Below are 25,309 nucleotides of genomic sequence, written 5' to 3'. Positions count from 1 at the left end.
TGGTCTCAGCCATTTTGAGGGTTATTTTAATCTTTTTAAAACAGATGTAGACGTTTTGGTTGTAAGTTGGTGTTAAAGAGAGGAGGAAGTTCCAAATCCCACCCCGGGGCCCAGCCTGCAGTTCCATCCGTTCAGACCTGTTTCTACTCGGGCTCTGCCTCTAGTCAGAAACCTCCACGCCCCGACATGGCATCTGTGCCCTTAGGAACTCTTCACAGGGGAATTATTTGGGGCCACGCGGTGGTGGAAACCTGCAGTGCTGGGCAGTGGGTCTGGCTGGAGAGCCACTGCAGAAGGGCTGAGAAGGGGCGGCCCCAGCAGGCCCCATGCACTTACAGGCAAACAGGCTGTCGGCCCAGAGCCCCAGCAGGGGCCTGGACCCCAGGAGCGACGGGCCTGAAGCAGGGCCTCTGTCCTCGGAGTGGGAGGCAGAGTGAACTTTAGCTGCTACAAGACTTGGAGGTCCGGCCCCGGGAATCTCTGAGCTATGGCCCCCTCACACGGACAGGGCATGAGCTGGGGCCTGCGACACCCAACGTTGACTGCTCAGACCCTCTCGTCCCTGCCTGGGCCCACACTTGCCATCCCCAGGCTCAGCCAGGATTTATGGCCACCTGGGTGTCCTGGCCCACGAACTCCCTGCCCCGGGCACCCAGCCTCCTCCCACCTCACCCTCCCAGTGCCCACTCGTCAGATAGCTGATGCTCGCCACGCACATGGGCCTCAACTTCTAGAGGAGTCCCGAGAGGGAAAGGGGTTCCCCAAGCCACACGGTAGGTCGAGTACACCTGCTCAGCCTGCAGAGGCGGCCTGCCCTCCTGCCTGTCCTGTCGCCACCCCATGGGGCAAGGCTGGTGCCCGCATTTCAGAAGTGGGAACGGGGACCTGGAGGTCAAGTGGCTTTTCCGGGCATTTGAGGGGGTCCAGCGCTCATGAGGACTGTGCTGCTGCCTGTCCTCCAAGAGACCCGCCCCTCCCTCGTCAGCCCCTCCATGCTGATGGGGGCATGGGGCATGAGCTTCCTAGAGTTTGGCTGCTGGGAAGGGGCTGGGTGGCTGGACTCTGGTCATCTTCATCTTGGTGTGATGGGAGCCTGAGTGTGCAGCTGCGCCCTGGGCGGCCAGCGTGGACAGACTTCAGAGTGAGCTGGGGGCACCAGGCACCTGCAGGATACCGTTCCGAAAGATCTAGAAGCCCCATGACCCGGCCTGGCAGGGCCCCCGGGCGACCCTCACTCCCACATATGGGCAACACACACACGTGTTTGCAGGCATGCGACGGAGTGTGCCAGCCAGCCCGAGGGGTGCTGGCCGCTAGAGGAGGGTGAGGGGCGTCTGCAGCATGGCTGCGGCACGTGGGGCCCAAGTCAGGGCCGGGCCTGCCCCTCGGTGGCCTCACACCCCAAGTCAGGGCCGGGCCTGCCCCTCGGTGGCCTCATACCCCAAGTCAGGGCCGGGCCTGCCCCTCGGTGGCCTCACACCTGTTCTCTCACAGCAGCTGCCTCTGTTCTTTCCACTCCCAGAAATGCTCATTTTTCACGGCTCTGCTCAGAAGATTTCCCAGGGCCAGGGCCAGGGCCAGGCTGTGGGTGGGGTGAGCGATGGCGCCCTGCGTTCTGATCCAGCCTCGCCCCCAGCTGCTGTGTGGTCTCTGAGAGGGGTGGGCTCAGGGCCTGGGCCTCTCCTGCCCTGATCTCCCTGTTACCCTGGCCTCGGAGCCTCCCAGCAGCCCCTGCAGCCCTGGAGGCCTGTGAGGACAGGACTGGTCTGGTTCATCTGTCCCGTCAAGCCCCCATCCCATTTGACAGAAGGGGAATAGGCTCCGAGAGGCTGTGACTTGCCTCGGCCTGCAGAGCACGGAGACTGTCAGAGCTGGGGTGGGGCCTATCGTCCAGCCCCACAGCCTGCGGTCTCAGCCCGGGCACCTGGCGCCTCAGCCACCAGGAGAGCCCCCGAGTCACAGATGGGGACACTGGGCCGGTGGCAGCCAGGCCAGAGCCAGGGCATCTGACGACAGCCGTGTTCTTTCCACCACACCTGGCTTTCCCTGGTGTTTGGGAAATGGCTGTGTTCTGGGAAATCTTTAGTCAGGTCCAGGGAAAACAGGCCCGGCAGGTCTCTCTCCCCAGCCCCAGGCCGGCCTGTCACTTCTTCTAGGCAGCTGGCCACCTCTGTCCCCCCAGAGGCTTGGGGAGGGCAGGAGTACCACCCCTATCTTCCAGGCAGAGCCACCCAGAAGGCTGGCAGGGGTACACAGGAGACCCTGGAGCCTGGCCATGTCCCTCAGGCCCCCTTGGTCTCTAGAGACCCCCCGGGGTATAGACAGGGCCCCGCTGCTCCCTGGGTGCGTGGTTCGGGGAGATGAGGTGGTATAGGACAGTCTGTGGTCTGTCTGTACCTGGCAAGGTCATCACGTGCCTGGGCTTGGCAGGACAGACCCTGGGTCTTCGGCCAGGGTGGGAGCTGCTACCAGGAAGGCCTGCAGGAACTGTGAGCTTGAGTGAGGAAGTAGGAAGGTGTCAGGCAGACCTCAGGGACGGCTGGGGCCTGTGCCCGGGGAGGCTGTCCTGTGGCCCTCAGAGGAGCAGCTGTGGATGTGGCCGCCTCCCACGCTCCTGGCTGGGCAGGTGTGGGCTGGAGAGGTGGCGTCAGTGCGATACACCTGACCTTGCCCCTGTCCGTGACCTTGGCAGGATGATGATGAGAGGGATGTGGATGCCAGCCCGACGGCAGGGCTGCAGGAAGCAGCAACGCTGGCCCCTACACGGAGGTCACGGCTGGCCGCTCGTTTCCGAGTCACGGCCCACTGGCTGCTGGTGGCGGCTGGGCGGGTCCTGGCCGTAACACTGCTTGCACTGGCAGGTACGCACCGAGGCAGGGGGCACTGGCAGTCACACTGGGAGGGGTCTTGGGAGTTCCCTGATGACTGTGGAGACAGCGGGACACATGGCACTGGCCAGGTACCACCCTGTGTGCCCCTGCCCCGCAGGCATCGCCCACCCCTCGGCCCTCTCCAGTGTCTACCTGCTGCTCTTCCTGGCCCTCTGCACCTGGTGGGCCTGCCACTTTCCCATCAGCACTCGGGGCTTCAGCAGACTCTGCGTCGCGGTGGGGTGCTTCGGCGCCGGCCATCTCATCTGCCTCTACTGCTACCAGATGCCCTTGGCACAGGCTCTGCTCCCGCCTGCCGGCATCTGGGCTAGGTAACGGCTTGCCACACAGCCCCTTTTTCCTGCCACCCTGGTCCCGCCCACCTGGCTCGTCTAGCCCCTGTGGCCCCACTGCCTCTGGGGTGGTAGGCTGTGACGGGTCTTCTCTGGACAGGGTGCTGGGTCTCAAGGACTTCGTGGGTCCCACCAACTGCTCCAGCCCCCACGCGCTGGTCCTCAACACCGGCCTGGACTGGCCTGTGTATGCCAGCCCCGGCGTCCTCCTGCTGCTGTGCTACGCCACGGCCTCTCTGCGCAAGCTCCGCGCGTACCGCCCCTCCGGCCAGGTGAGCACCTGCCACCCATGGTGGGTGGGCTGAGGCCAGGCCATGGGGCTGGTCTCAGGACCTCCTGCCTCTGGGTGGGGTGTGGAGCTGGTTTGGGCTCAAGACGCTGGTCTCTGCAGAGGAAGGAGGCGGCAAAGGGGTATGAGGCTCGGGAGCTGGAGCTAGCAGAGCTGGACCAGTGGCCCCAGGAACGGGAGTCTGACCAGGTGAGCAGCCAGGCAGGTGGAGACGCCAGCGTGGGGGGCGCCCGGCCAGCCCGTGCATGGCTCAGCGCTGCTTGCCCACAGCACGTGGTGCCCACAGCACCCGACACCGAGGCTGATAACTGCATCGTGCACGAGCTGACCGGCCAGAGCTCCGTCCTGCGGCGGCCTGGTGAGTACCGCACACTGCAAGGTATGGCTGGGTGCGGGGGGCGGGGCGGAGGCCGGTGCTGCCCCCTGGTGGCCGCCTGGCGCTCTCGCATGCTCGCGCCGCACCTCTGCCTGCCGCCCCCTCGGGGGCCCAGGACATCCACGGGTCGGTGTCAGTGACCCCCGAGACCCCCAGGGCAGCCGAGTGGCCATGTCACTGACCAACCCCCAAGACCCCCAGGGCAGCTGAGTGGCCGCGTCGTTGATCCCCAAGACCCCATGGGGGGCCTCCAGGTCCCCCAACCCCTCCCCAGAGAATGTGGCTATGCTGTCTTGTGCTGTTAGCTCTGGGAGCTGCTCCAGGTGGCCCAGTGGCCCCAGGAGGCCGCTCGTCCAGGGCAGGGGCTGGCCTGGGAACTCTGTGTTGGCCACGTCGCCTTGGGAGGGCCTGGGGGCTCTTTCTGGCTACTTTCTTTCTTTACCCTAACCCTTGATTTTCCATTTTGCAATGTGTTTCTGAATGAAGCAAATGAAGCCACGGCCCTGGGGTGGGGGTCCTGAGAGTCTTCAGGTGCGCAGAGCTGGAAAGGGGGTCAGGGCCACCTTTCCCACCCTTTCAAGGAAAGTGAGGCCCAGAGAACGGCAGGTGCTGGCAGGGCCATCCCTGACGCTCAGGGACGGTGTCAGCCCAATTGCCGGAGCCCTCGTGTTCTGCCCATAGCCCACCGGGGGCCTGTCTCTCCTGCTGTGTGCTTGCCCAGGGCCCAGATTTTAGGGCATAGTCAGGGTGGGGAGGCCTGCAGATCAACCTGCCGAAGCTGACCGCTGTCCCCACCTGCAGTGCGGCCCAAGCGGGCTGAGCCCAGGGAGGCGTCTCCGCTCCACAGCCTGGGCCACCTCATCATGGACCAGAGCTATGTGTGCGCGCTCATTGCCATGATGGTAGGCGGCTGTGGGGGTTGGGGTGGGCGGCCCCCTCTGCCGCGCAGGTGTGGGGCATCGCCTGGGTGGGGTGCGCTGGGCAGCTGTGCAGCCCCCTCTGCCGCGCAGGTGTGGGGCATCGCCTGGGTGGGGTGCGCTGGGCAGCTGTGCAGCCCCCTCTGCCGCGCAGGTGTGGGGCATCGCCTGGGTGGGGTGCGCTGGGCAGCTGTGCAGCCCTCTCTGCCGCGCAGGTATGGAGCATCACCTACCACAGCTGGCTGACCTTCGTACTGCTGCTCTGGGCCTGCCTCATCTGGACGGTGCGCAGCCGCCACCAACTGGCCATGCTGTGCTCGCCCTGCATCCTGCTGTATGGGATGACGCTGTGCTGCCTACGCTACGTGTGGGCCATGGACCTGCGCCCTGAGCTGCCCACCACCCTGGGCCCCGTCAGCCTGCGCCAGCTGGGGCTGGAGCACACCCGCTACCCCTGTCTGGACCTTGGTGCCATGGTGAGTGTGCACCACCACATCCGGGGGTGCCTGGGTGCGCAGACCCATCAGGGTTGTCGTCCTGTTCAATGTCCACTTGCCCGGGGGAGTGGCAGCGCCAAGAAGGCAGATGTGTCTGTCTGTCCCCTTCTGCCCACCCAGAGCCAGCCCAGAGTAGCTTCTCAGTGAGCGTTTGTTGACTGAATAAACAGACAACCTTGTGTTGGCACGGGCACCACCCCTGTGCCCTGACACTGTGTGAGCGTGGGCTCTGTTGGCACGGGCACCACCCCTGTGCCCCGACACTGTGTGTGAGCATGGGCTATGCCCATTGGCACAGGCACCACCCCTGCGCCCCTGACAGTGTGTGTGAGCGTGGGCTCTGCCCATTGGCACCATGCACAGCCCTGGGTCTCAGTGACAAGCTGTGCAGGCCATGTGTTCACAGGGTGCCTGCGTGTCCATGTGAAACGGGTGCCAGCATCGTGTCTGGACACCTGTTTGCAGGCCAGTGGGTCTCATCTTGTGAAACTTGTGAGCCTGTGTGCCAACATATGCACCTGTGAGCTTGTGTGCATATGTGAGCACGCATGTGGGCAAACATGCACTCCAGCATGTGGACATGTGTGCAGGTGCGTGCATGGATCTGTGCCCACGTGAACTAGTGAACCCGTGTGTGACTCTGCGTGTGAGCGCAAGTGAACCCATGCACTCATCCATGGATGTGAGAGTGTGTGCTCGTGTGCCTCTGAGTGGGTGTGAGCGAGAGGGTGTTCGGTGCCTGTGGGGAGGCTGCGGTGGATGGGCTGGTGCCAGCCGCCTGAGAGCTCTTGCCCCCTGCTATAGGAGGGTGCTGGGTCCCCCGGCTGTGGGAGGGGTGCTGGGCCCCCCGGCTGACTGTGACACCCTGCGCTTGTCACAGTTGCTCTACACCCTGACCTTCTGGCTCCTGCTGCGCCAGTTTGTGAAAGAGAAGCTGCTGAAGTGGGCAGAGTCTCCAGCTGCGCTGACGGAGGTCACCGTGGCAGACACAGGTGAGTGGTGGGCCAGAGGCGGGGGTTGCCCTCCTGCCTGCCCGCCCTGATGCCATCGCCTGCCCCTGGCTTGGCCCACAGAGCCCACGCGGACGCAGACGCTGTTGCAGAGCCTGGGGGAGCTGGTGAAGGGCGTGTACGCCAAGTACTGGATCTATGTGTGTGCTGGCATGTTCATCGTGGTCAGCTTCGCCGGCCGCCTCGTGGTCTACAAGATTGTCTACATGTTCCTCTTCCTGCTCTGCCTCACCCTCTTCCAGGTGGCTGGGGGGCCGGGATGGGGGCTGGGGCACGGACCCTCCCCGCGGTCCTCACCACCCCCACCTCACCCGGCAGGTCTACTACAGCCTGTGGCGGAAGCTGCTCAAGGCCTTCTGGTGGCTCGTGGTGGCCTACACCATGCTGGTCCTCATCGCCGTCTACACCTTCCAGTTCCAGGACTTCCCTGCCTACTGGCGCAACCTCACTGGCTTCACCGACGAGCAGTGAGTCCAGGCTGGGGCGGTGGGGCAGGGGCGCCGAAACCCCGTGCACTTCCCCGGGGCTGCAGCGGCTCTGCCGGGGGCCGGGCCGGTGCTGATGCTGCCCCTCCACAGGCTGGGGGACCTGGGCCTGGAGCAGTTCAGCGTGTCCGAGCTCTTCTCCAGCATCCTGGTGCCCGGCTTCTTCCTCCTGGCCTGCATCCTGCAGCTGCACTACTTCCACAGGCCCTTCATGCAGCTCACCGACATGGAGCACGTGTCCCTGCCTGGCACGCGCCTCCCGCGCTGGGCTCACAGGTGCGGCCCCGCCCTCCCTGTCCGGCCCTGGAGAGGTGTAGCCTCCTGGGCCAGGGAGGGAGCCAGGTGGGAGTTGGACAGGAGCCACATCTTCCACCTTCAGATCCCAAGGGGCATTTGCTCATACCAAGGGGATGGCAGTAGCGTGGAGGTCACAGGGACAGTGGGCATGAGTTGCGACACAGCTGTGCACCTGAACTGGCAGCTGCAGCAGAAGCGGTGCCGACAGGGCTTCTTCCAGCCCCAGGAAATGAGGGGCAGGAACCCAGTTGGGAGATGACATTTTCGGACCCTCTCCCAGGCAGGATGCAGTGAGTGGGACCCCACTGCTGCGGGAGGAGCAGCAGGAGCATCAGCAGCAGCAGCAGGAGGAGGAGGAGGAGGAGGAGGACTCCAGGGACGAGGGGCTGGGCGTGGCCACTCCCCACCAGGCCACGCAGGTGCCTGAAGGTGGGTTGGGCGGGCAGAGCACAGCTGCCACCCAGTCTGCTGTGCCATGTCCCAGCTCGGGGGGCGTTGGCAGAGTCCCCTCTGGGCTCCAGAGCCTCTTCCTCACAGGGGACCCGGGAATCCCCGTTTGTGCCCCGCACTGACCCTCACACCATCACAGGGGCAGCCAAGTGGGGCCTGGTGGCTGAGCGGCTGCTGGAGCTGGCAGCCGGCTTCTCGGACGTCCTCTCACGCGTGCAGGTGTTCCTGCGGCGGCTGCTGGAGCTTCACGTTTTCAAGCTGGTGGCCCTGTACACCGTCTGGGTGGCCCTGAAGGAGGTGAGTGTGGCAGGCAACTCAGCTTCCCATCTGGGGTGGGGTCGCTCTGGCCTGCCCAGCTGGCCTCCCCAAGCCCAGCCCCACGTGCCCACTGCCCTCCCCAAGCCCAGCCCCACGTGCCCACTGCCCTCAGGTGTCGGTGATGAACCTGCTGCTGGTGGTGCTGTGGGCCTTCGCCCTGCCCTACCCACGCTTCCGGCCCATGGCCTCCTGCCTGTCCACCGTGTGGACCTGCGTCATCATCGTGTGTAAGATGCTGTACCAGCTCAAGGTTGTCAACCCCCAGGAGTATTCCAGCAACTGCACCGAGGTACCGGCCCCCGAGGGCTGGGACGGGAGGAAGCTCCAGGCAACTCTGTATTCGCAGCCCGACCCTCCTGGGGCAGCTGCCTCAGTGCAGTGGGGCCAGCAATGGAGATGGAGGACTCTCCCCTGGGGGCGCCAAGGGGGCTTCCTGGAGGCAGCATCCTTCGACCTCAACTGTGGACCAGGGGCGCACTCCCTGCACACAAGGGTGTCCAGTAGGGGCGGAGTCCCAGGGTCTCCGGCAGTGAGGACGGGAGGGCCCCACCCCTGGACAGGGAGAGACAGTCAGGCATCTCTGCCTGGGACCTTCTCGCACATCCCTCCTTCTCCCTGGACCTCTCTTCACTCCCCCAGCCCCTGCCCGTGGTCTCCCTGTTTCTCAAACACCTGGTCCCCTTCCCCGTGAAGGTGGCTCCAAGGCTGGCAGCCCCCGTGTCCCTGGCTGGGGAGCAGTGGACCTGCCCCAGAGCTGTGGCTGTGGTGGGCTCCGGGCAGGGCCAGGGGGCACTGTGGCCTGGGAGGGGGCACTGATGCCTGGCCTCTTGCCAGCCCTTCCCCAACAGCACCAACTTGCTGCCCACGGAGATCAGCCAGTCCCTGCTGTACCGGGGGCCCGTGGACCCTGCCAACTGGTTTGGGGTGCGGAAAGGGTTCCCCAACCTGGGCTACATCCAGGTGAGTTGAAGGGCTGGTGGGCGGCTGGGCGGGCGAGTACCCGGCTGCCCCCTGACCCTTGCCCTCCGCAGAACCACCTGCAAGTGCTGCTGCTGCTGGTATTCGAGGCCATCGTGTACCGGCGCCAGGAGCACTACCGCCGGCAGCACCAGCTGGCCCCGCTGCCTGCCCAGGCCGTGTTTGCCAGCGGCACCCGCCAGCAGCTGGACCAGGATCTGCTCGGCTGCCTCAAGTACTTCATCAACTTCTTCTTCTACAAATTCGGGCTGGAGGTGAGGCAAGGACATTGCCTCCCCCTGGGGCAGGGCTTGGCCTTCGGGAGGGAGGGACGGCTGCACCGTGCAGGCACCGCAAGCCTGGCCCCACCTGGGTTTGCCTGGGCCACAGAGGGTGGGGGACTCAGGGCCAGGCACGGCTTCCCTGGACTCCTGTGGTGTGTCGGTGCTGACAACAGGCAGGGGGCCAAGTTAGATCTGCTCTACTGTACAGCCCACCTCCTGGAGCCTCAGTTTCCCCTGCACGATGGCAACTGCCAGCCACTCCTGCCCTCTTGACAGCGCCGCTGGCCCTGTCCTTGCTTGATGCCCGCAGCCTCCAGGCAGGGCTGCTGCAAGCCTGAGGCCTGCTGGGTGGGACAAGAAAGTCCCTCCCCCCAGACTCAGTGCATCCCCACACCCCGCCCTCTCCCCTCCCCAGATCTGCTTCCTGATGGCCGTGAACGTGATCGGGCAGCGCATGAACTTTCTGGTGACCCTGCACGGTTGCTGGCTGGTGGCCATCCTCACCCGCAGGCACCGCCAGGCCATTGCCCGCCTCTGGCCCAACTACTGCCTCTTCCTGGCGCTGTTCCTGCTGTACCAGTACCTGCTGTGCCTGGGGATGCCCCCGGCCCTGTGCATTGGTGAGGGGCACGTGGCTTGGGTGGGAGTGGGCTTTGTGGCTTTGTGGATGCCCGTGGGGGTGTTTCCCGCCTGCCCCAGACTCCTGTCCACCCTCCTAGACTTAGCCTTGGCCTCCTCCAGTCCCTCCTCTCTGCTCCACATCCTACCCAGGCGCCATCACCTGCATCCTGTCTCTCGGGGGCGGCCTGGCCCCCTCCAGGCTCTGCTGTTCTCTTTTCCTTTTTTGCCCAGTATTCTATCTTGAAATATTTCAAACCTTCAGGAAAGTTGTGAGTCACACAAGGAGCACTGCGTCCTCTCCGGGCCCCGTGCGGGTCGGCCGTGATGCCTCACACCCAAGTGCTGCCTCGAGCATGCGTCTCCTGGGTGAGGGTGTCTGAGCCCACAGCCCCACACCCGTGGTCCCGTCTCCTGGCAGTGCCATCGTCAAACGTGTCCTCTGCATTCAAACAGCCCCGGCCTCAGCACCCTTCTTTGTGGCCATTTGGTTTTCAGACGGGATCTGGTCTGATGTTTGCTCTAGTCTCTTGTCTTGGGTCTAAGCCGCCCCCGCCTCTCCTGTCTCTTGGGAAGTTCCGGAGGGAGGCCGGTAGCGTTGCTGACGCCGTGAGACTGGATTTGCGTGGCTGTCCTGGTGCTGCAGGTCTGCTCAAGGCACACAGCACCCTGCGGTCTGAGATGGGGAGTCACATTTGTGCACGTGGCCGGCTCAGGGGCGTCCCACCTGCCCCACAGTGGCACCCAGCCTGTTGGCACTGGTGGGCTGTGTGGGGTCAGCCTTGTGGTTTTACGAAACAGACTTTCTCTCTGCTGTCTCTGTGTGTCTGTCAGCTGGGATTCCCATCAAGGACAGCTGCCATTTGTTACTGGCTGCTTTCCAAGAATTCTGTCATCCGCAGACCCTGGGCCTCCCCTCTGCTGAGTGGGTCCTGGCCCCTCCGGCCACACACTGTTACATCATCTCCCCGTATTTGGCTGGGCATGGTGGTTCACGCCTGTGATGCCAGCACTTTGGGAGGCTGAGGCAGGAGCATCCCTTGAGGCCAGGAGTTTGAAACCACTCTGGTCAACATAGCAAGAACCCTTTTTTTTTTTTTTTTTTTTTTTGAGATGGAGTCTTGCTCTGTCACCCAGGCTGGAGTACACTGGCACAATCTCGGCTCACTGCAGCCTCCGCCTCCCGGGTTCAAGCAATTCTCCTGTCTCAGCCTCCCTCGTGGCTAGGATTACAGGCAAGCACCACCAGGCCCGGCTAATTTTTGTATTTTTAGTAGAGACGGGGTTTCACCATCTTGGCCAGGCTGGTCTTGAACTCCTGACCTCAGGTGATCCACCCGCCTCCCAAATTACAGGCCTCCCTCCTGGGATTACAGGCGTGAGCTGCCACGCCCGGCCCCGTCTTGTTTTCTGCTCCCAGGCGCTGCTGCCTCATCTTCTGCTACCCAGGCCCAGCCTTGTGCTCACAGCCATTGCTCCAGGGAGCCCAATCGAGTTCTAGGAGCGTGAGGTTTAGAGCCCGGGGTCTGGGCGCTGGGTGTGCCTGTTGCTACAGGGCTGCCTCAGCCTCTGGGCCCTCCAGCTCTTCCTTGTTGAAACATCTGCTTTCGAGCATCACCGAGGCCAGCTCCCCGTCTCCTGTCCACCTCTTCCTTGTTGAAATACCTGCTATCAAGCGTCACCTAGGCCAGCTCCCCTTCTTCTGCCTCCTTCCACGCGGCTGCGCCATGCAGTCGCCATCCTGTGAGATCAGCATGTCCTGGGTTCCCCAACATCGAGGGTAACTTTGTTTTTGTATCGTGAGGTTCCCTCTGTGGCAGATGGGGCTGTGGGTTCAGCATGTCCTGGGTTCCCCAGCATCGAGGGTCACTTTGTTTTTGGGTCGCGAGGTTCCCTCTGTGGCAGATGGGGCTGTGGGTTCAGCATGTCCTGGGTTCCCCAGCATCGAGGGTCACTTTGTTTTTGTGTCGCGAGGTTCCCTCTGTGGCAGATGGGGCTGTGGGTTCAGCATGTCCTGGGTTCCCCAGCATCGAGGGTCACTTTGTTTTTGGGTCGCGAGGTTCCCTCTGTGGCAGATGGGGGCTGTGGGTTCAGAATGTCCTGGGTTCCCCAGCATCGAGGGTCACTTTGTTTTTGGGTCACGAGGTTCCCTCTGTGGCAGATGGGGCTGTGGGTTCAGCATGTCCTGGGTTCCCCAGCATCGAGGGTCACTTTGTTTTTGTGTCGCGAGGTTCCCTCTGTGGCAGATGGGGCTGTGAGATCAGCATGTCCTGGGTTCCCCAACATCGAGGGTCACTTTGTTTTTGGGTCGCGAGGTTCCCTCTGTGGCAGATGGGGCTGTGGGTTCAGCATGTCCTGGGTTCCCCAGCATCGAGGGTCACTTTGTTTTTGGGTCGCGAGGTTCCCTCTGTGGCAGATGGGGCTGTGGGTTCAGCATGTCCTGGGTTCCCCAGCATCGAGGGTCACTTTGTTTTTGGGTCGCGAGGTTCCCTCTGTGGCAGATGGGGCTGTGGGTTCAGAATGTCCTGGGTTCCCCAGCATCGAGGGTCACTTTGTTTTTGGGTCGCGAGGTTCCCTCTGTGGCAGATGGGGCTGTGGGTTCAGCATGTCCTGGGTTCCCCAGCATCGAGGGTCACTTTGTTTTTGGGTCACGAGGTTCCCTCTGTGGCAGATGGGGCTGTGGGTTCAGCATGTCCTGGGTTCCCCAACATCGAGGGTCACTTTGTTTTTGGGTCGCGAGGTTCCCTCTGTGGCAGATGGGGCTGTGAGTTCAGCATGTCCTGGGTTCCCCAGCATGGAGGGTCACTTTGTTTTTGTGTCGCAAGGTTCCCTCTGTGGCAGATGGGGCTGTGAGTTCAGCATGTCCTGGGTTCCCCAGCATGGAGGGTCACTTTGTTTTTGTGTCGCGAGGTTCCCTCTGTGGCAGATGGGGCTGTGAGTTCAGCATGTCCTGGGTTCCCCAGCATGGAGGGTCACTTTGTTTTTGTGTCGCGAGGTTCCCTCTGTGGCAGATGGGGCTGTGAGTTCAGAATGTCCTGGGTTCCCCAGCATCGAGGGTCACTTTGTTTTTGTGTCGCGAGGTTCCCTCTGTGGCAGATGGGGCTGTGAGATCAGCATGTCCTGGGTTCCCCAACATCGAGGGTCACTTTGTTTTTGGGTCGCGAGGTTCCCTCTGTGGCAGATGGGGCTGTGGGTTCAGCATGTCCTGGGTTCCCCAGCATCGAGGGTCACTTTGCTTTTGGGTCGCGAGGTTCCCTCTGTGGCAGATGGGGCTGTGAGTTCAGCATGTCCTGGGTTCCCCAGCATGGAGGGTCACTTTGTTTTTGTGTCGCGAGGTTCCCTCTGTGGCAGATGGGGCTGTGGGTTTCGCAGATGCGTGGAGTCACATCCATGCCCTCAGTCCTTAGGGACCGACCCTCCCTGCCTCACACGCCTCCCAGGAAGTGTGGCCGGGGGCCGGCAGTGCCACGGCTCCCTCCCCAGCAGGCCCCGGCCGCTCCCATCCCCAGCACGTGGTCCTATCAGAACGCCACGTCAGCAGGACTCCCAGCAGGTGGCCTTTAGGTCTGGCTTCTTTCACTTGGCAGAGCACACTGAGGTCTGTCTAGGCTGTCGCATGGATCCCGGTCCCACGTGCTGAGCAGCGCGTTCCCAGCTGTGGTTGCTGCAGGTTGAACTTTTCCTGGCTGCAGGCGTCCGTGCAGCTTCTGGCCGTTGTTTTCAGAGCTGTCCTATCACACGCACTGTCCTATCATGGAATATGACGCCGTGTGGGCCACAACTCAGGCCCAGCAGCCCCCACCCCCGTGCTCTCTGGCCTCCTGCTCAGTTCCTTTGCCCCCAGGGGCTTGGTGCAGAGTTGAAGGAATCTGTGTGTGTGAACACACAGGACACTAGAGCTGTCAGTTCTCGAGACACCAGGTGTGCGCGAGGTGATTCCCATGGACCCTGAGGGCTGGTGATAGACTCGGGTCAACGGGTGGGGACCGGGTGTCTCAGGCCCCAGGCAGGCCCGGCCCTTCCTGACATGACACCCCTTCCCCCAGATTATCCCTGGCGCTGGAGCCGGGCCGTCCCCATGAACTCCGCACTCATCAAGTGGCTGTACCTGCCTGATTTCTTCCGGGCCCCCAACTCCACCAACCTCATCAGTGAGTGCCCCCCACCACCCCCGCCTCTGCAGAGGACCCTCAGAGTACATTCACGCCCCCAAATCTGCTCACAAGTGTGCACACAGGCGTGCACGGGCGGAGGTGTGGTCAGGCACATGGCGGCCTGCAGGCCCTGACCTCGCACGCACGCACGCAGACCTCAGCCTGTGTGCACGGCAGCCCTTGTGCAGATGCCCTCACACCGGGGCTCCCCCAGGGACACCCGGCCACTCACCCAGGCAGACGTGTGTCCGCTCCCAGCGGCTGCACGCCGACAGGCCTGGGGTGGGAGGTGGGATTTATGCGCCGTGCCCACCTCGTGTGGGTCCCCGTGTGGCACAGCGGCGGCTCCTGTGTCCTGCAGGCGACTTTCTCCTGCTGCTGTGCGCCTCCCAGCAGTGGCAGGTGTTCTCAGCTGAGCGCACAGAGGAGTGGCAGCGCATGGCTGGCGTCAACACCGACCGCCTGGAGCCGCTGCGGGGGGAGCCCAACCCCGTGCCCAACTTTATCCACTGCAGGTGGGTTCCACGTCACCCTCCACGGGGAACCTTCTGGGAGGGGTGGCCGGGGCGCCCGCCCTGACGCTCCGGCCTGGCAGGTCCTACCTTGACATGCTGAAGGTGGCCGTCTTCCGATACCTGTTCTGGCTGGTGCTGGTGGTGGTGTTTGTCACGGGGGCCACCCGCATCAGCATCTTCGGGCTGGGCTACCTGCTGGCCTGCTTCTACCTGCTGCTCTTCGGCACGGCCCTGCTGCAGAGGGACACACGGGCCCGCCTCGTGCTGTGGGACTGCCTCATTCTGTACAACGTCACCGTCATCATCTCCAAGAACATGCTGTCGGTGAGCCTCCGGCCCCCCCGCACCCACCGCCCTGGGGCCCCGCTGGCCCCGCTGACCCTGCTCTCCCCCAGCTCCTGGCCTGCGTCTTCGTGGAGCAGATGCAGACCGGCTTCTGCTGGGTCATCCAGCTCTTCAGCCTTGTATGCACCGTCAAGGGCTACTATGACCGTGAGTGGCCAGGACGGTGGCGGGGGAGGGCGTGGGGAAGCCCCCTGCTCCTGGGCCCTGGGCCTGACCCTTGCCGGTGCCTGCCTTGCAGCCAAGGAGATGATGGACAGAGACCAGGACTGCCTGCTGCCTGTGGAGGAGGCTGGCATCATCTGGGACAGCGTCTGCTTCTTCTTCCTGCTGCTGCAGCGCCGCGTCTTCCTTAGCCATTACTACCTGCACGTCAGGGCCGACCTCCAGGCCACCGCCCTGCTAGCCTCCAGGCAAGCTTGGGCCCAGACACAGCCCAGAGCTCCCGTCTTGGGGCTGGGAGGGGGCAATGGGAGGTTCCTCACTGTCTCAGGCCCCGGCCCGTGGAGGGCAGGCTCTGCCACTCTGTGACATGGGCGTGTCATCTAGAGGGAGAATGAAGGCCGGCAGATCCCCGGCACCATCACACTCTGCCCCAGTGCTGGGTCTGTCAGAGACCACAGGCTGCAGTGCTGACGGTGGCTGGTGTCTCACCCCCAGCCAACTTTCCCACTAAGGGCTAAGTTTCTCCACCAGCGGGAGGGCCACTGTGTGGTGTCACGACTGCCCCAGGGAGGGGTTCTGGCTTGGGGCCAGCTTTGCCTTCTTCCCTGCAGCTGTGGTGGGGTGGGTGCCACCAGACGCCCCTGCATCTGTACGGCAGAAGGGCCTGTCCTCGCCGCAGACAGCACGGAGGGTGGGGGCAGCAGATGCCTCCCCCGTGGGTGCCTCTTGTCCAGCGTGGGCAGAGAGGAGCAGGCTGAGCTGTCCCGGGCTGAGCGGGGAGCGGCGGCTGCCCATGTTGCTGGGGTCGAGTGCCTGGTGCTCACACCCCATCCCCGCCTCCCTACAGGGGCTTCGCCCTCTACAACGCTGCCAACCTCAAGAGCATTGACTTTCACCGCAGGATAGAGGAGAAGTCCCTGGCCCAGCTGAAAAGACAGTAGGTGCCTCTGGGGCGGGGACTCCCCGGCTCCTCCCCCCAATGCTCAGCATACCCCACCTTTCCCCACCACAGGATGGAGCGTATCCGTGCCAAGCAGGAGAAGCACAGGCAGGGCCGGGTGGACCGCAGTCGCCCCCAGGACACCCTGGGCCCCAAGGACCCCGGCCTGGAGCCAGGTGAGTGCAGCTGGAGTCGGGCACCCAGGGCCCCGTGTCCAGCATGTCTGTGCCTGCTGGCGTGTGCTGCGTCTGTGCCCATGTGACGTCCCACAGGGCTCCCAGCCCGCCTGTCCTGTCCGCATGATCACCCTCTGTCTGGCAGGCCCCATGGCCGCCCTGTGACTGTCCGTCCACGCACATGGGCTCTGAGCCCCATGGCCCCACACGGCCCCCGTCACTGTGGGTGTCCGTGTCTGTCTCCACCTATCCTGTCTCCAAGACGGGAGCACTCACAGCCCCGACCCCTCCTGGTGGCTTGACTGCTGCCTCATGCTCACCCTGCCCCTCCACAGGGCCCGACAGTCCAGGGGGCTCCTCCCCGCCACGGAGGCAGTGGTGGCGGCCCTGGCTGGACCACGCCACAGGTACCCCCAATTAGGCCGCCTGTGGCCACCCTCTCAGGCCCTCTGTGCCCCCATCTGTCCTCTGCCTGGCCTGCTATCTTCCCCTCCCTTCCCCCGACTCCCAGGCCCTGAGCGTCAGGACGTGCTCAGGCCTCCTGGGTCGGGGGGTGCCTCACTGGCTGCAGACCCCTGGGCTGACTATGTCCTCTCCTGGCTATGCCCCAGCCCTTCCAACAGTGGGAGTCTCGGAGCTTGCCCCGATGACACATGGTGGTCGAGCAGCGATCTCACCTGGGACCCAGCAGCACTGCGTTATTCTGTTTTTGTTTCTTTTTGAGATGGAGTCTCGCTCTGTCACTGCAGGCTGGAGTGCAGTGGCATGATCTCAGCTCACTGCAATCTCTACCTCCCGGGTTCAAGTGATCCTCCTGCCTCAGCCTCCCAAGTAACTGAGACTACAAGCATGTGCCCCACTCCAGGCCTTTTTTTTTTTTTTTTGGAGACGGTGTCTTGCCCTGTCGCCCAGGCTACAGTGCAATGGCGTGATTGCGGCTCACTACAACCCCCACCTCCCAGGTTCAAAGGATTCTCCTGCCTCAGCCTCCCAAGTAGCTGGGATTACAGGTGCCCGCCACCACGCCCAGCTAATTTTCGTATTTTTAGTAGAGATGGGGTTTCACCATATTGGCCAGGCTGGTCTCGAACCTCTGACTTCAGGTGATCCGCCCGCCTCAGCCTCCCACAGTGCTGGGATTACAGGCGTCAGCCACCGTGCCCGGCCTGTTCTGTTTTTCTAACTCTCACACAGCCTCCTGGGTTTTCCCCGGTCCTCTGCAGTCGGCCCACTCTGCACCCCAGCCCGCGCTGGCTCTGCTCCTCAGCTGCCCTGCCCACCTCTGTCTTGTCCCACCGCGCTGGCCTGTGTCTTGTGCCTGCACTGCTCCCGGCTACTCCGCATGGGAAGGGTGGCTCTCGGGCCTTGGCCCATGCAGGCGGAGGGGGTCTGGCTGGGAGTCTCCCTGCATGGAAGGCTGGCTCTCAGTGCTGCCTGCCCACAGTCATCCACTCCGGGGACTACTTCCTGTTTGAGTCCGACAGTGAGGAAGAGGAGGAGGCTGTTCCTGAAGACCCGAGGCCGTCGGCACAGAGTGCCTTCCAGGTGAGGTGGGAGAGCCCCGTCGGCCCCACTCCAACCACAGAGCTTGTGGTCCTGGACCAGGGCAGCATAGAGGGTGTCAGATGCCCCCAGGGCCTGGGAGCCGAGCTCCTCCACCTCCAGTTAGCCCACCCCGCCCCATCCAGGCCTCCCAAGTCCCATGGGAAACCAGGCTACAGGGACATGGGTCATGTGTAGCCTGCTGCCCCACGGTCTTGGCTCTGACCACCCAGGTTCTGGTGGCTGCCCGTGGCCTGACCTGTGAGACCGGCCCAACACCTTTGTGCTGGCCGCCTGGCTGTCCTGGGTCCATCTTTGGGCCCCTGGCTCTTGGTGTTAGACCAGCCCACCCAACTCCTGAATGGGTGGGAGTCTTCCCCCACAGCCCCTCAGGGTCCCCATCCGGGAGGGGCTCAGGGACACGGAGGTCCCTGGGAGACACAGAGCAGGGATCTGGATCTGGCGCCCGGCTTGCCCAACCCCAGCTTCCCGCCTGGGTCTGATGGCTCGGGAGGCCGGGTCCTAACCCGGGGGCTGGCCGACAGCTGGCGTACCAGGCATGGGTGACCAACGCCCAGGCGGTGCTGAGGCGGCGGCAGCAGGAGCAGGAGCAGGCAAGGCAGGAACAGGCAGGACAGCTACCCACAGGTGAGCTGGGGGGCGTGGGGACTCTGAGGGGAAGCCGCGGGACTGCCAGTCACTCACCAGCATCCTGTGCCCAGGAGGTGGTCCCAGCCAGGAGGTGGAGCCAGCAGAGGGCCCCGAGGAGGCAGCGGCAGGTACGTGGGCCCGGGGCTGGGGAGTGGGAGGTCTCTCTTGGCCCCACAGGCTGCCCCTCCAGCGCCCCCTCCCGCCCTCCCGCAGGCCGGAGCCATGTGGTGCAGAGGGTGCTGAGCACGGCGCAGTTCCTGTGGATGCTGGGGCAGGCGCTAGTGGATGAGCTGACACGCTGGCTGCAGGAGTTCACCCGGCACCACGGCACCATGAGCGACGTGCTGCGGGCAGAGCGCTACCTCCTCACACAGGAGCTCCTGCAGGTGAGCCTGCCCGTGCACCACGCTCGTCCCTGCTCTGCCTGACTACGCCCCTGCCTGCTTAACAGCCTAGTCCCGCGCCCACTGCACGAAACCCCGTGTGGGGACAAGAGCTGGACGCAGCCCTGAGCCCCCTGCTGTGCCCTGCAGGGCGGCGAAGTGCACAGGGGCGTGCTGGATCAGCTGTACACAAGCCAGGCCGAGGCCACGCTGCCAGGCCCCACCGAGGCCCCCAATGCCCCAAGCACCGTGTCCAGGTAGGTGCGGGGGTGACCCGAGCCCCAGCTGCTGCCCCTGGTGTGTGGGCATCGCCTAGCCATCCCCGACCCTCGCCATTCCCTTGTACCCCAAAGGACCGTGGGCACTTTCCACCCTGACCCTCCCTGTAGCCTGGGGTCAGGCCATAGAGCAGGATTCTCTGTGACTCGGCTTCCCTCCCCAGTGGGCTGGGCGCGGAGGAGCCACTCAGCAGCATGACAGACGACATGGGCAGCCCCCTGAGCACCGGCTACCACACGCGCAGTGGCAGTGAGGAGGCAGTCACCGACCCCGGGGAGCGTGAGGCTGGTGCCTCTCTGTACCAGGGACTGATGCGGACGGCCAGCGAGCTGCTCCTGGACAGGTGGGGGCGGGACGCGCACAACACCAGCCTCACCATGGCCCTCGGGGAGCAGCCGAACAGGGGCAGGAGACTGACTGTGACCGGCAACAGATCGGGCCGTCATGCCTTCGGGCAGTCCCAGACTCCCCCAAACACGCGGGTCTCCCTGTAGGCGCCTGCGCATCCCAGAGCTGGAGGAGGCAGAGCTGTTTGCGGAGGGGCAGGGCCGGGCGCTGCGGCTGCTGCGGGCCGTGTACCAGTGTGTGGCCGCCCACTCGGAGCTGCTCTGCTACTTCATCATCATCCTCAACCACATGGTCACGGCCTCCGCCGGCTCGCTGGTGCTGCCCGTGCTCGTCTTCCTGTGGGCCATGCTGTCGATCCCGAGGCCCAGCAAGCGCTTCTGGATGACGGCCATCGTCTTCACCGAGGTGGGCCGAGGCCGCGGGGGAGGGGGCGCCCGGCCCACCGCGCCGTGACCCTCCCCGCGTGCTGAGCCCCCTCCCCCACAGATCGCGGTGGTCGTCAAGTACCTGTTCCAGTTTGGGTTCTTCCCCTGGAACAGCCACGTGGTGCTGCGGCGCTACGAGAACAAGCCCTACTTCCCGCCCCGCATCCTGGGCCTGGAGAAGACTGACGGCTACATCAAGTACGACCTGGTGCAGCTCATGGCCCTTTTCTTCCACCGCTCCCAGCTGCTGGTGAGTGTGAGCCTTGGCTGGCAATGCGGGGCTGGGCAGGCCCTCTGGGCACCTGTGCTCTCCACCAGGGAGGCAAGGCCCCCTCACCACACCCTCCCGCCCCTCAGTGCTATGGCCTCTGGGACCATGAGGAGGACTCACCATCCAAGGAGCATGACAAGAGCGGCGAGGAGGAGCAGGGAGCCGAGGAGGGGCCAGGGGTGCCTGCGGCCACCACCGAAGACCACATTCAGGTGGAAGCCAGGGTCGGACCCACGGACGGGACCCCAGAACCCCAAGTGGAGCTCAGGCCCCGTGATACGAGGCGCATCAGTCTACGTTTTAGAAGAAGGAAGAAGGAGGGCCCAGCACGGAAAGGAGCGGCAGCCATCGGTATAAGCGCCCTGCCTCACAACCTCCTGCCTACCCAGTTTTCTGAGTGGGGCTACTGCAGGGAGGGTCTTTCTCAGATGAGACGGCCAAGCCCAGTGCGAGGCCCACCTGGATCCCAGGAAGGTGCCACTTCTGAGCCACAGCTCCCGGCTCTGCCTACAGAGCCGTCCCTGACTGCTGCCCCCGGGGATGCTCCCCACGTGTAGGGTGACTGTTGGCCTGGGCTGGCCCCTCACAGTTGCCCCAGACAGAGGACACAGCCCCAGCTGTCTCCTTGCCAGTGACACTGGGAGCTTTCCTGTGCTCCGTCTGCTTGTCTGTCAAACAGGGAGAATGCCAGCCTCTTAGGGTGGTCAGGAGCCATGAGCCAGGCCCAGTCCCCAGGGGGCCCAGGCAGAAGTCAGCTTTTCCCTACAGAAGCTGAGGACAGGGAGGAAGAAGAGGGGGAGGAAGAGAAAGAGGCCCCCACGGGGAGAGAGAAGAGGCCAAGCCGCTCTGGAGGAAGAGTAAGGGCGGCCGGGCGGCGGCTGCAGGGCTTCTGCCTGTCCCTGTGAGTGATGGCGGCCGGGGGCAGCTGGGGAGTGGGGGTGGGGAGGCGGGTACTGGGCCCAGGCTGAGCGCCCCCTTCCGCAGGGCCCAGGGCACATATCGGCCGCTACGGCGCTTCTTCCACGACATCCTGCACACCAAGTACCGCGCAGCCACCGACGTCTATGCCCTCATGTTCCTGGCTGATGTTGTCGACTTCATCATCATCATTTTTGGCTTCTGGGCCTTTGGGGTGAGCCAGGCCCGGGACCCAAACCCAGTGTACGCAGAGCTCAGCAGCCACCCACATCCCCTGGGCTTGGCTCCCCCTGACCTGTGCTCTCCTGGCCACAGAAGCACTCGGCGGCCACAGACATCACGTCCTCCCTATCAGACGACCAGGTACCCGAGGCTTTCCTGGTCATGCTGCTGATCCAGTTCAGTACCATGGTGGTTGACCGCGCCCTCTACCTGCGCAAGACCGTGCTGGGCAAGCTGGCCTTCCAGGTGGCGCTGGTGCTGGCCATCCACCTATGGATGTTCTTCATCCTGCCCGCCGTCACTGAGAGGTGGGCCCACGCGTGGGGGCGCTCGGTCTCCAGGGGCGGGGCAGTGCAGGCTGGGGGCCCTGCGGGGCTGTTTCTGATGGGGTCCTTGACCTGGCCATCCCGCCCCAGGATGTTCAACCAGAATGTGGTGGCCCAGCTCTGGTACTTCGTGAAGTGCATCTACTTCGCCCTGTCCGCCTACCAGATCCGCTGCGGCTACCCCACCCGCATCCTCGGCAACTTCCTCACCAAGAAGTACAATCATCTCAACCTCTTCCTCTTCCAGGGGTGAGTGCAGGTCCGCCGGGGTGGGGGTCACGGCCCGGGCATGAGGGAGCCCACCTGACGGGAACCCTGGCTGTGGGCAGGTTCCGGCTGGTGCCGTTCCTGGTGGAGCTGCGGGCAGTGATGGACTGGGTGTGGACGGACACCACGCTGTCCCTGTCCAGCTGGATGTGTGTGGAGGACATCTATGCCAACATCTTCATCATCAAATGCAGCCGAGAGACAGAGAAGGTGCCTGGGCCCAGGGCGGGGGCCGGGACAAGGGCCAGGGATATGCCCTCTCCCTAAGACAGAGGCACTGCTGCCACGAGAACCCGTGGTGCTGGAGGCCCTCCCAGGGCTCGGAGCCCATGGGGACATGAGGCGAGCCCACCCACTAGCTGATCACGAGGCCAGTGATCTTGGCAGCTGCGAGTGAGTGCTGGGCGCAGAAGTGGGCAGCGGAGTTGGTCCTGTTCCAGGCAGGCTGGCAGCAGAGCAGGGCCTGGTGCAGGGAGGACCGGACAGCCACTGTTTGCTGCATTCTTGTTTAATGGCCTTTCTCAGAGAGAATTCGTGCGTCAGACCACTCCCCCACGTAAAAAGTACAACTCAGGGGTTTCTAGTGGATTCACAGTTGAGCATCTGCCTTCTCACCACTTCAAAAAGAAACCCCGGGCCGGGCACAGCGGCTCACCCCTATCATCCCAGCACTGTAAGAGACCCAGGAGGGAGGTACTGCTCAAGGCCAGGAGTTCAAGATCTGCACGGCCACAAGCGAGACCCTGCCTCAGCAAATGTAAAAATAAAACAATTAGCTGGCAATGGCAGCTCATGCCTATGGTCCCAGCACTTTGGGAGGCCAAAGGAGGAGGATCAGTTGAGGCCAGGAGTTTTAAGACCAGCCTGGGCAACATAGTGAGTGAGACTCTCTCTACAAAAAAATAAACGTTAGCTGGGTGTGATGGTGCACACTTGTGCTCCCAGCTACTCTGGAGGCTGAGGTGGGAGGATGGCTTGAGGCCAGGAGTACAGGGCTGCATTAAGCCTGATCACACCACTGCACTCCAGCTTGGGCAACAGAGTGAGACCCTGTCTCTAAAAAAGTAAAAAGAAGAAACCCAGTGCCCATTGGCTGTCACTCGGTTTCCCCTCCCCTGGCCCCTAGTAACCCCTTGTCTAGGTCCTGGTTCTATGAGATTTGCCTACAGTGGATATTTCATGAAAACAGGCTCAGACAGCGTTTGTCCTTTTGTAATCAGCTTTCCTTGCTCAGCATGGTGTCTCTGAGGTCCACCCACGTGGCAGTATGGCCTTCCTGTTTATGGGCAAATGATATTCTGTGGCATGGATGGACCACAACATGCTCATCTGTTGATGGGCTGTTGCCCGTGATGCTGCCAGGCACGCCGGTGTACACGTCTGTGTGCCCGTGCCCCTGGTCCTGTGGCTGCACGCCAGGGCCGGAAGTGCTGGTGGTGGTTTCCATCATGAGGAGCTGCTGGTTTTCCATAGCAGCTCCACCATCTAAGGTTCCCACCACCAACACGAGGTTGCGGTTTCTCCACATCCTCAACAACCTGTTACTATGTCTTTTTTGTTCTGGCCATGCTGCTGAACGGGTGGCTTGCTGTGGGCTCTTCTCAGTTCCCTGTTGACCGACGCTGAGCGTCTTTTCATGTGCTTGGCCATTTGTGTATCTTCTCTGGGGAAATGTCTATTCAAATCCTTTCTCCATAGTTTAGTTGGGCTTTTGAGATAGGATCTCAGGCTGAAGTGCAGTGGCATGACCTTCACTCACTGTAGCCTCTGCCTCCCAGGTTCAAGCGATTCTCCCACCTCAGCCTCCCGAGTAGCTGGGACTACAGGTGTGCACCACCAGGCCTGGCTAGTCTTTTGTATTTTTGGCCAGGTTCGTCTCAAACTCCTGACCTCAAAGTGCTGGGATGACAAGTGTGAGCCGCCACACCCAGCAGTTGGGTTGTTTTTTATTAGAGTTTTTTCTGTTTTTCTGCAGATACATTGGCTAGAAATGACTGAATTGGAAGAATTCTCTGTATTCTCTGGTTGCTAGAACCTTATCAATTAAAATTTGCAGAAAATTTCTCCAATTCTATGGACTGTCTCTTAAATTTTCTTGGTGTCTTTGGAAGCACAAAGTATTTATTTTGGTAATATCTGGTTTACTTTGTTTCCTTCGCCAAATCCAGGTTCATGAAGATTTGCCCGTTTTCTTCTAAAAGTTCTATAGTTTTAGCTCTGAAGTTTCGCTCTTTGATCCACTTTGAGGTAAATTTTGGCACATGGTATGAGGCAGGAGTTGCGTTTCATTCTCCTGCCTGGGGCGGTGCCTGCACCGTGTTGAAAAAGGTTGTCCGTTCCCACTGAACGGTCACAGCTCCCTTGTCTAAGATCAACGACCCCTGAACATGAGGGTTCCAACTGGACTCTTAGTTCTACTCCACTGGCCTGTGTCTGCCCACCATTACTACCGCTGTGCCATACTGAGGTCAGGCTGGGGCTTTTCTGGGCTGCTGGGTGAGCTGGAGAATGCGGTTGTGTGACCCGCAGGAAGGGCAGAGCTGAGCGTATGACCTGTGTCGTTCCCCTCCAGAAATACCCGCAGCCCAAAGGGCAGAAGAAGAAGAAGATCGTCAAGTACGGCATGGGTGGCCTCATCATCCTCTTCCTCATCGCCATCATCTGGTTCCCACTGCTCTTCATGTCGCTGGTGCGCTCCGTGGTTGGGGTTGTCAACCAGCCCATCGATGTCACCGTCACCCTGAAGCTGGGCGGCTATGAGGTGAGCATGTGTGGGTCCGCCTGTCCATTCCCATCCCCTGGGGGTTCTGGCCAAGGTGGTGCACCACCCCCAGCCGCTCCTCCACGCTCATCTTCGTGGCCCCGTGTCCCCGTGCCTGCCCCAGCCGCTGTTCACCATGAGCGCCCAGCAGCCGTCCATCATCCCCTTCACGGCCCAGGCCTATGAGGAGCTGTCCCGGCAGTTTGACCCCCAGCCGGTAAGTGGCCTCTGCCCTGTGAAAGCTGGTGTGGGGAGGCGGCTGCAGTCACTGAGGGTGTCACTTGTACCCAGCTGGCCATGCAGTTCATCAGCCAGTACAGCCCTGAGGACATCGTCACGGCGCAGATTGAGGGCAGCTCCGGGGCGCTGTGGCGCATCAGTCCCCCCAGCCGTGCCCAGATGAAGCGGGAGCTCTACAACGGCACGGCCGACATCACCCTGCGCTTCACCTGGAACTTCCAGAGGTTCGTCCTGGACTTGGGGCAGTGCCTGGGTGGGTGGACCCACTACAGTGGGTCACGCTGTGTTCCCACCCCCAGGGACCTGGCGAAGGGAGGCACTGTGGAGTATGCCAACGAGAAGCACATGCTGGCCCTGGCCCCCAACAGCACTGCACGGCGGCAGCTGGCCAGCCTGCTCGAGGGCACCTCGGACCAGTCTGTGTGAGTGAAGGGCCCGGGTGGTGGGCAGGAGGGCTGTGCCAGGTTGGCTGGGCCAGGCCTGACCTGCCAGCACCTCCCTGCAGGGTCATCCCTAATCTCTTCCCCAAGTACATCCGTGCCCCCAACGGGCCCGAAGCCAACCCTGTGAAGCAGCTGCAGCCCAGTGAGTATGGGCGTGGGGGTTGGGGGAGGCTAGAGAGGGGTGACCTGCGGCCTCAACGATCTTCTCCCTCCATCCCAG

At 62.9% G+C, this 25,309-nt stretch overlaps 1 protein-coding gene, 1 long non-coding RNA gene and 1 other non-coding gene across 3 annotated transcripts in view, besides 1 other annotated feature; 2 read left to right on the top strand and 1 right to left on the bottom strand.

The window, feature by feature from the left end:
- Positions 1 to 25,309, top strand: part of PIEZO1 (piezo type mechanosensitive ion channel component 1 (Er blood group)) — a 69,883-nt gene that overhangs the window by 43,792 nt on the left and 782 nt on the right. The window contains exons 6-49 of the mRNA NM_001142864.4: positions 2,693 to 2,861; positions 2,989 to 3,202; positions 3,324 to 3,495; positions 3,615 to 3,701; positions 3,783 to 3,870; positions 4,690 to 4,790; positions 5,021 to 5,281; positions 6,183 to 6,294; positions 6,376 to 6,554; positions 6,631 to 6,779; positions 6,891 to 7,073; positions 7,375 to 7,523; positions 7,684 to 7,841; positions 7,975 to 8,151; positions 8,697 to 8,822; positions 8,894 to 9,094; positions 9,519 to 9,723; positions 13,768 to 13,872; positions 14,237 to 14,390; positions 14,471 to 14,714; positions 14,786 to 14,882; positions 14,974 to 15,145; positions 15,745 to 15,834; positions 15,910 to 16,013; positions 16,349 to 16,420; positions 17,458 to 17,558; positions 18,101 to 18,203; positions 18,278 to 18,334; positions 18,420 to 18,592; positions 18,740 to 18,846; positions 19,032 to 19,211; positions 19,363 to 19,621; positions 19,703 to 19,891; positions 19,999 to 20,263; positions 20,681 to 20,813; positions 20,897 to 21,044; positions 21,146 to 21,360; positions 21,469 to 21,627; positions 21,708 to 21,855; positions 24,218 to 24,406; positions 24,531 to 24,623; positions 24,698 to 24,870; positions 24,946 to 25,068; positions 25,152 to 25,231. Of these exons, the coding sequence (NP_001136336.2) occupies positions 2,693 to 2,861; positions 2,989 to 3,202; positions 3,324 to 3,495; positions 3,615 to 3,701; positions 3,783 to 3,870; positions 4,690 to 4,790; positions 5,021 to 5,281; positions 6,183 to 6,294; positions 6,376 to 6,554; positions 6,631 to 6,779; positions 6,891 to 7,073; positions 7,375 to 7,523; positions 7,684 to 7,841; positions 7,975 to 8,151; positions 8,697 to 8,822; positions 8,894 to 9,094; positions 9,519 to 9,723; positions 13,768 to 13,872; positions 14,237 to 14,390; positions 14,471 to 14,714; positions 14,786 to 14,882; positions 14,974 to 15,145; positions 15,745 to 15,834; positions 15,910 to 16,013; positions 16,349 to 16,420; positions 17,458 to 17,558; positions 18,101 to 18,203; positions 18,278 to 18,334; positions 18,420 to 18,592; positions 18,740 to 18,846; positions 19,032 to 19,211; positions 19,363 to 19,621; positions 19,703 to 19,891; positions 19,999 to 20,263; positions 20,681 to 20,813; positions 20,897 to 21,044; positions 21,146 to 21,360; positions 21,469 to 21,627; positions 21,708 to 21,855; positions 24,218 to 24,406; positions 24,531 to 24,623; positions 24,698 to 24,870; positions 24,946 to 25,068; positions 25,152 to 25,231 (6,664 nt within the window). The remainder of the gene's footprint in view (positions 1 to 2,692; positions 2,862 to 2,988; positions 3,203 to 3,323; positions 3,496 to 3,614; positions 3,702 to 3,782; positions 3,871 to 4,689; positions 4,791 to 5,020; positions 5,282 to 6,182; positions 6,295 to 6,375; positions 6,555 to 6,630; positions 6,780 to 6,890; positions 7,074 to 7,374; positions 7,524 to 7,683; positions 7,842 to 7,974; positions 8,152 to 8,696; positions 8,823 to 8,893; positions 9,095 to 9,518; positions 9,724 to 13,767; positions 13,873 to 14,236; positions 14,391 to 14,470; positions 14,715 to 14,785; positions 14,883 to 14,973; positions 15,146 to 15,744; positions 15,835 to 15,909; positions 16,014 to 16,348; positions 16,421 to 17,457; positions 17,559 to 18,100; positions 18,204 to 18,277; positions 18,335 to 18,419; positions 18,593 to 18,739; positions 18,847 to 19,031; positions 19,212 to 19,362; positions 19,622 to 19,702; positions 19,892 to 19,998; positions 20,264 to 20,680; positions 20,814 to 20,896; positions 21,045 to 21,145; positions 21,361 to 21,468; positions 21,628 to 21,707; positions 21,856 to 24,217; positions 24,407 to 24,530; positions 24,624 to 24,697; positions 24,871 to 24,945; positions 25,069 to 25,151; positions 25,232 to 25,309) is intronic.
- HSALR1 (HSP90AB1 associated lncRNA 1) lies at positions 4 to 10,249 on the bottom strand. The gene is made up of 3 exons (NR_103774.1): positions 9,981 to 10,249; positions 3,024 to 3,608; positions 4 to 2,925 (listed from the first exon to the last, which is right to left on the bottom strand). It is a non-coding gene; the product is annotated as an HSP90AB1 associated lncRNA 1 (long non-coding RNA).
- Positions 3,854 to 4,073: a silencer, noted in NCBI's record as "silent region_7872". NCBI's record gives its function as "represses an Ori minimal core promoter by ATAC-STARR-seq in GM12878 lymphoblastoid cells {active_cell/tissue: GM12878}" and the evidence as "EXISTENCE:reporter gene assay evidence [ECO:0000049][PMID:35858748]".
- Positions 25,092 to 25,151, top strand: MIR4722 (microRNA 4722). Its single transcript, NR_039873.1, has one exon. It is a non-coding gene; the product is annotated as a microRNA 4722 (primary transcript).

The sequence above is a fragment of the Homo sapiens genome, chromosome 16, assembly GCF_000001405.40.
Source record: "Homo sapiens chromosome 16, GRCh38.p14 Primary Assembly".
Lineage (NCBI taxonomy): Eukaryota > Metazoa > Chordata > Mammalia > Primates > Hominidae > Homo > Homo sapiens.
The sequence above is the reverse complement of the archived record's forward strand: the minus strand, read 5'-3'. Positions and strand labels throughout refer to the sequence as shown.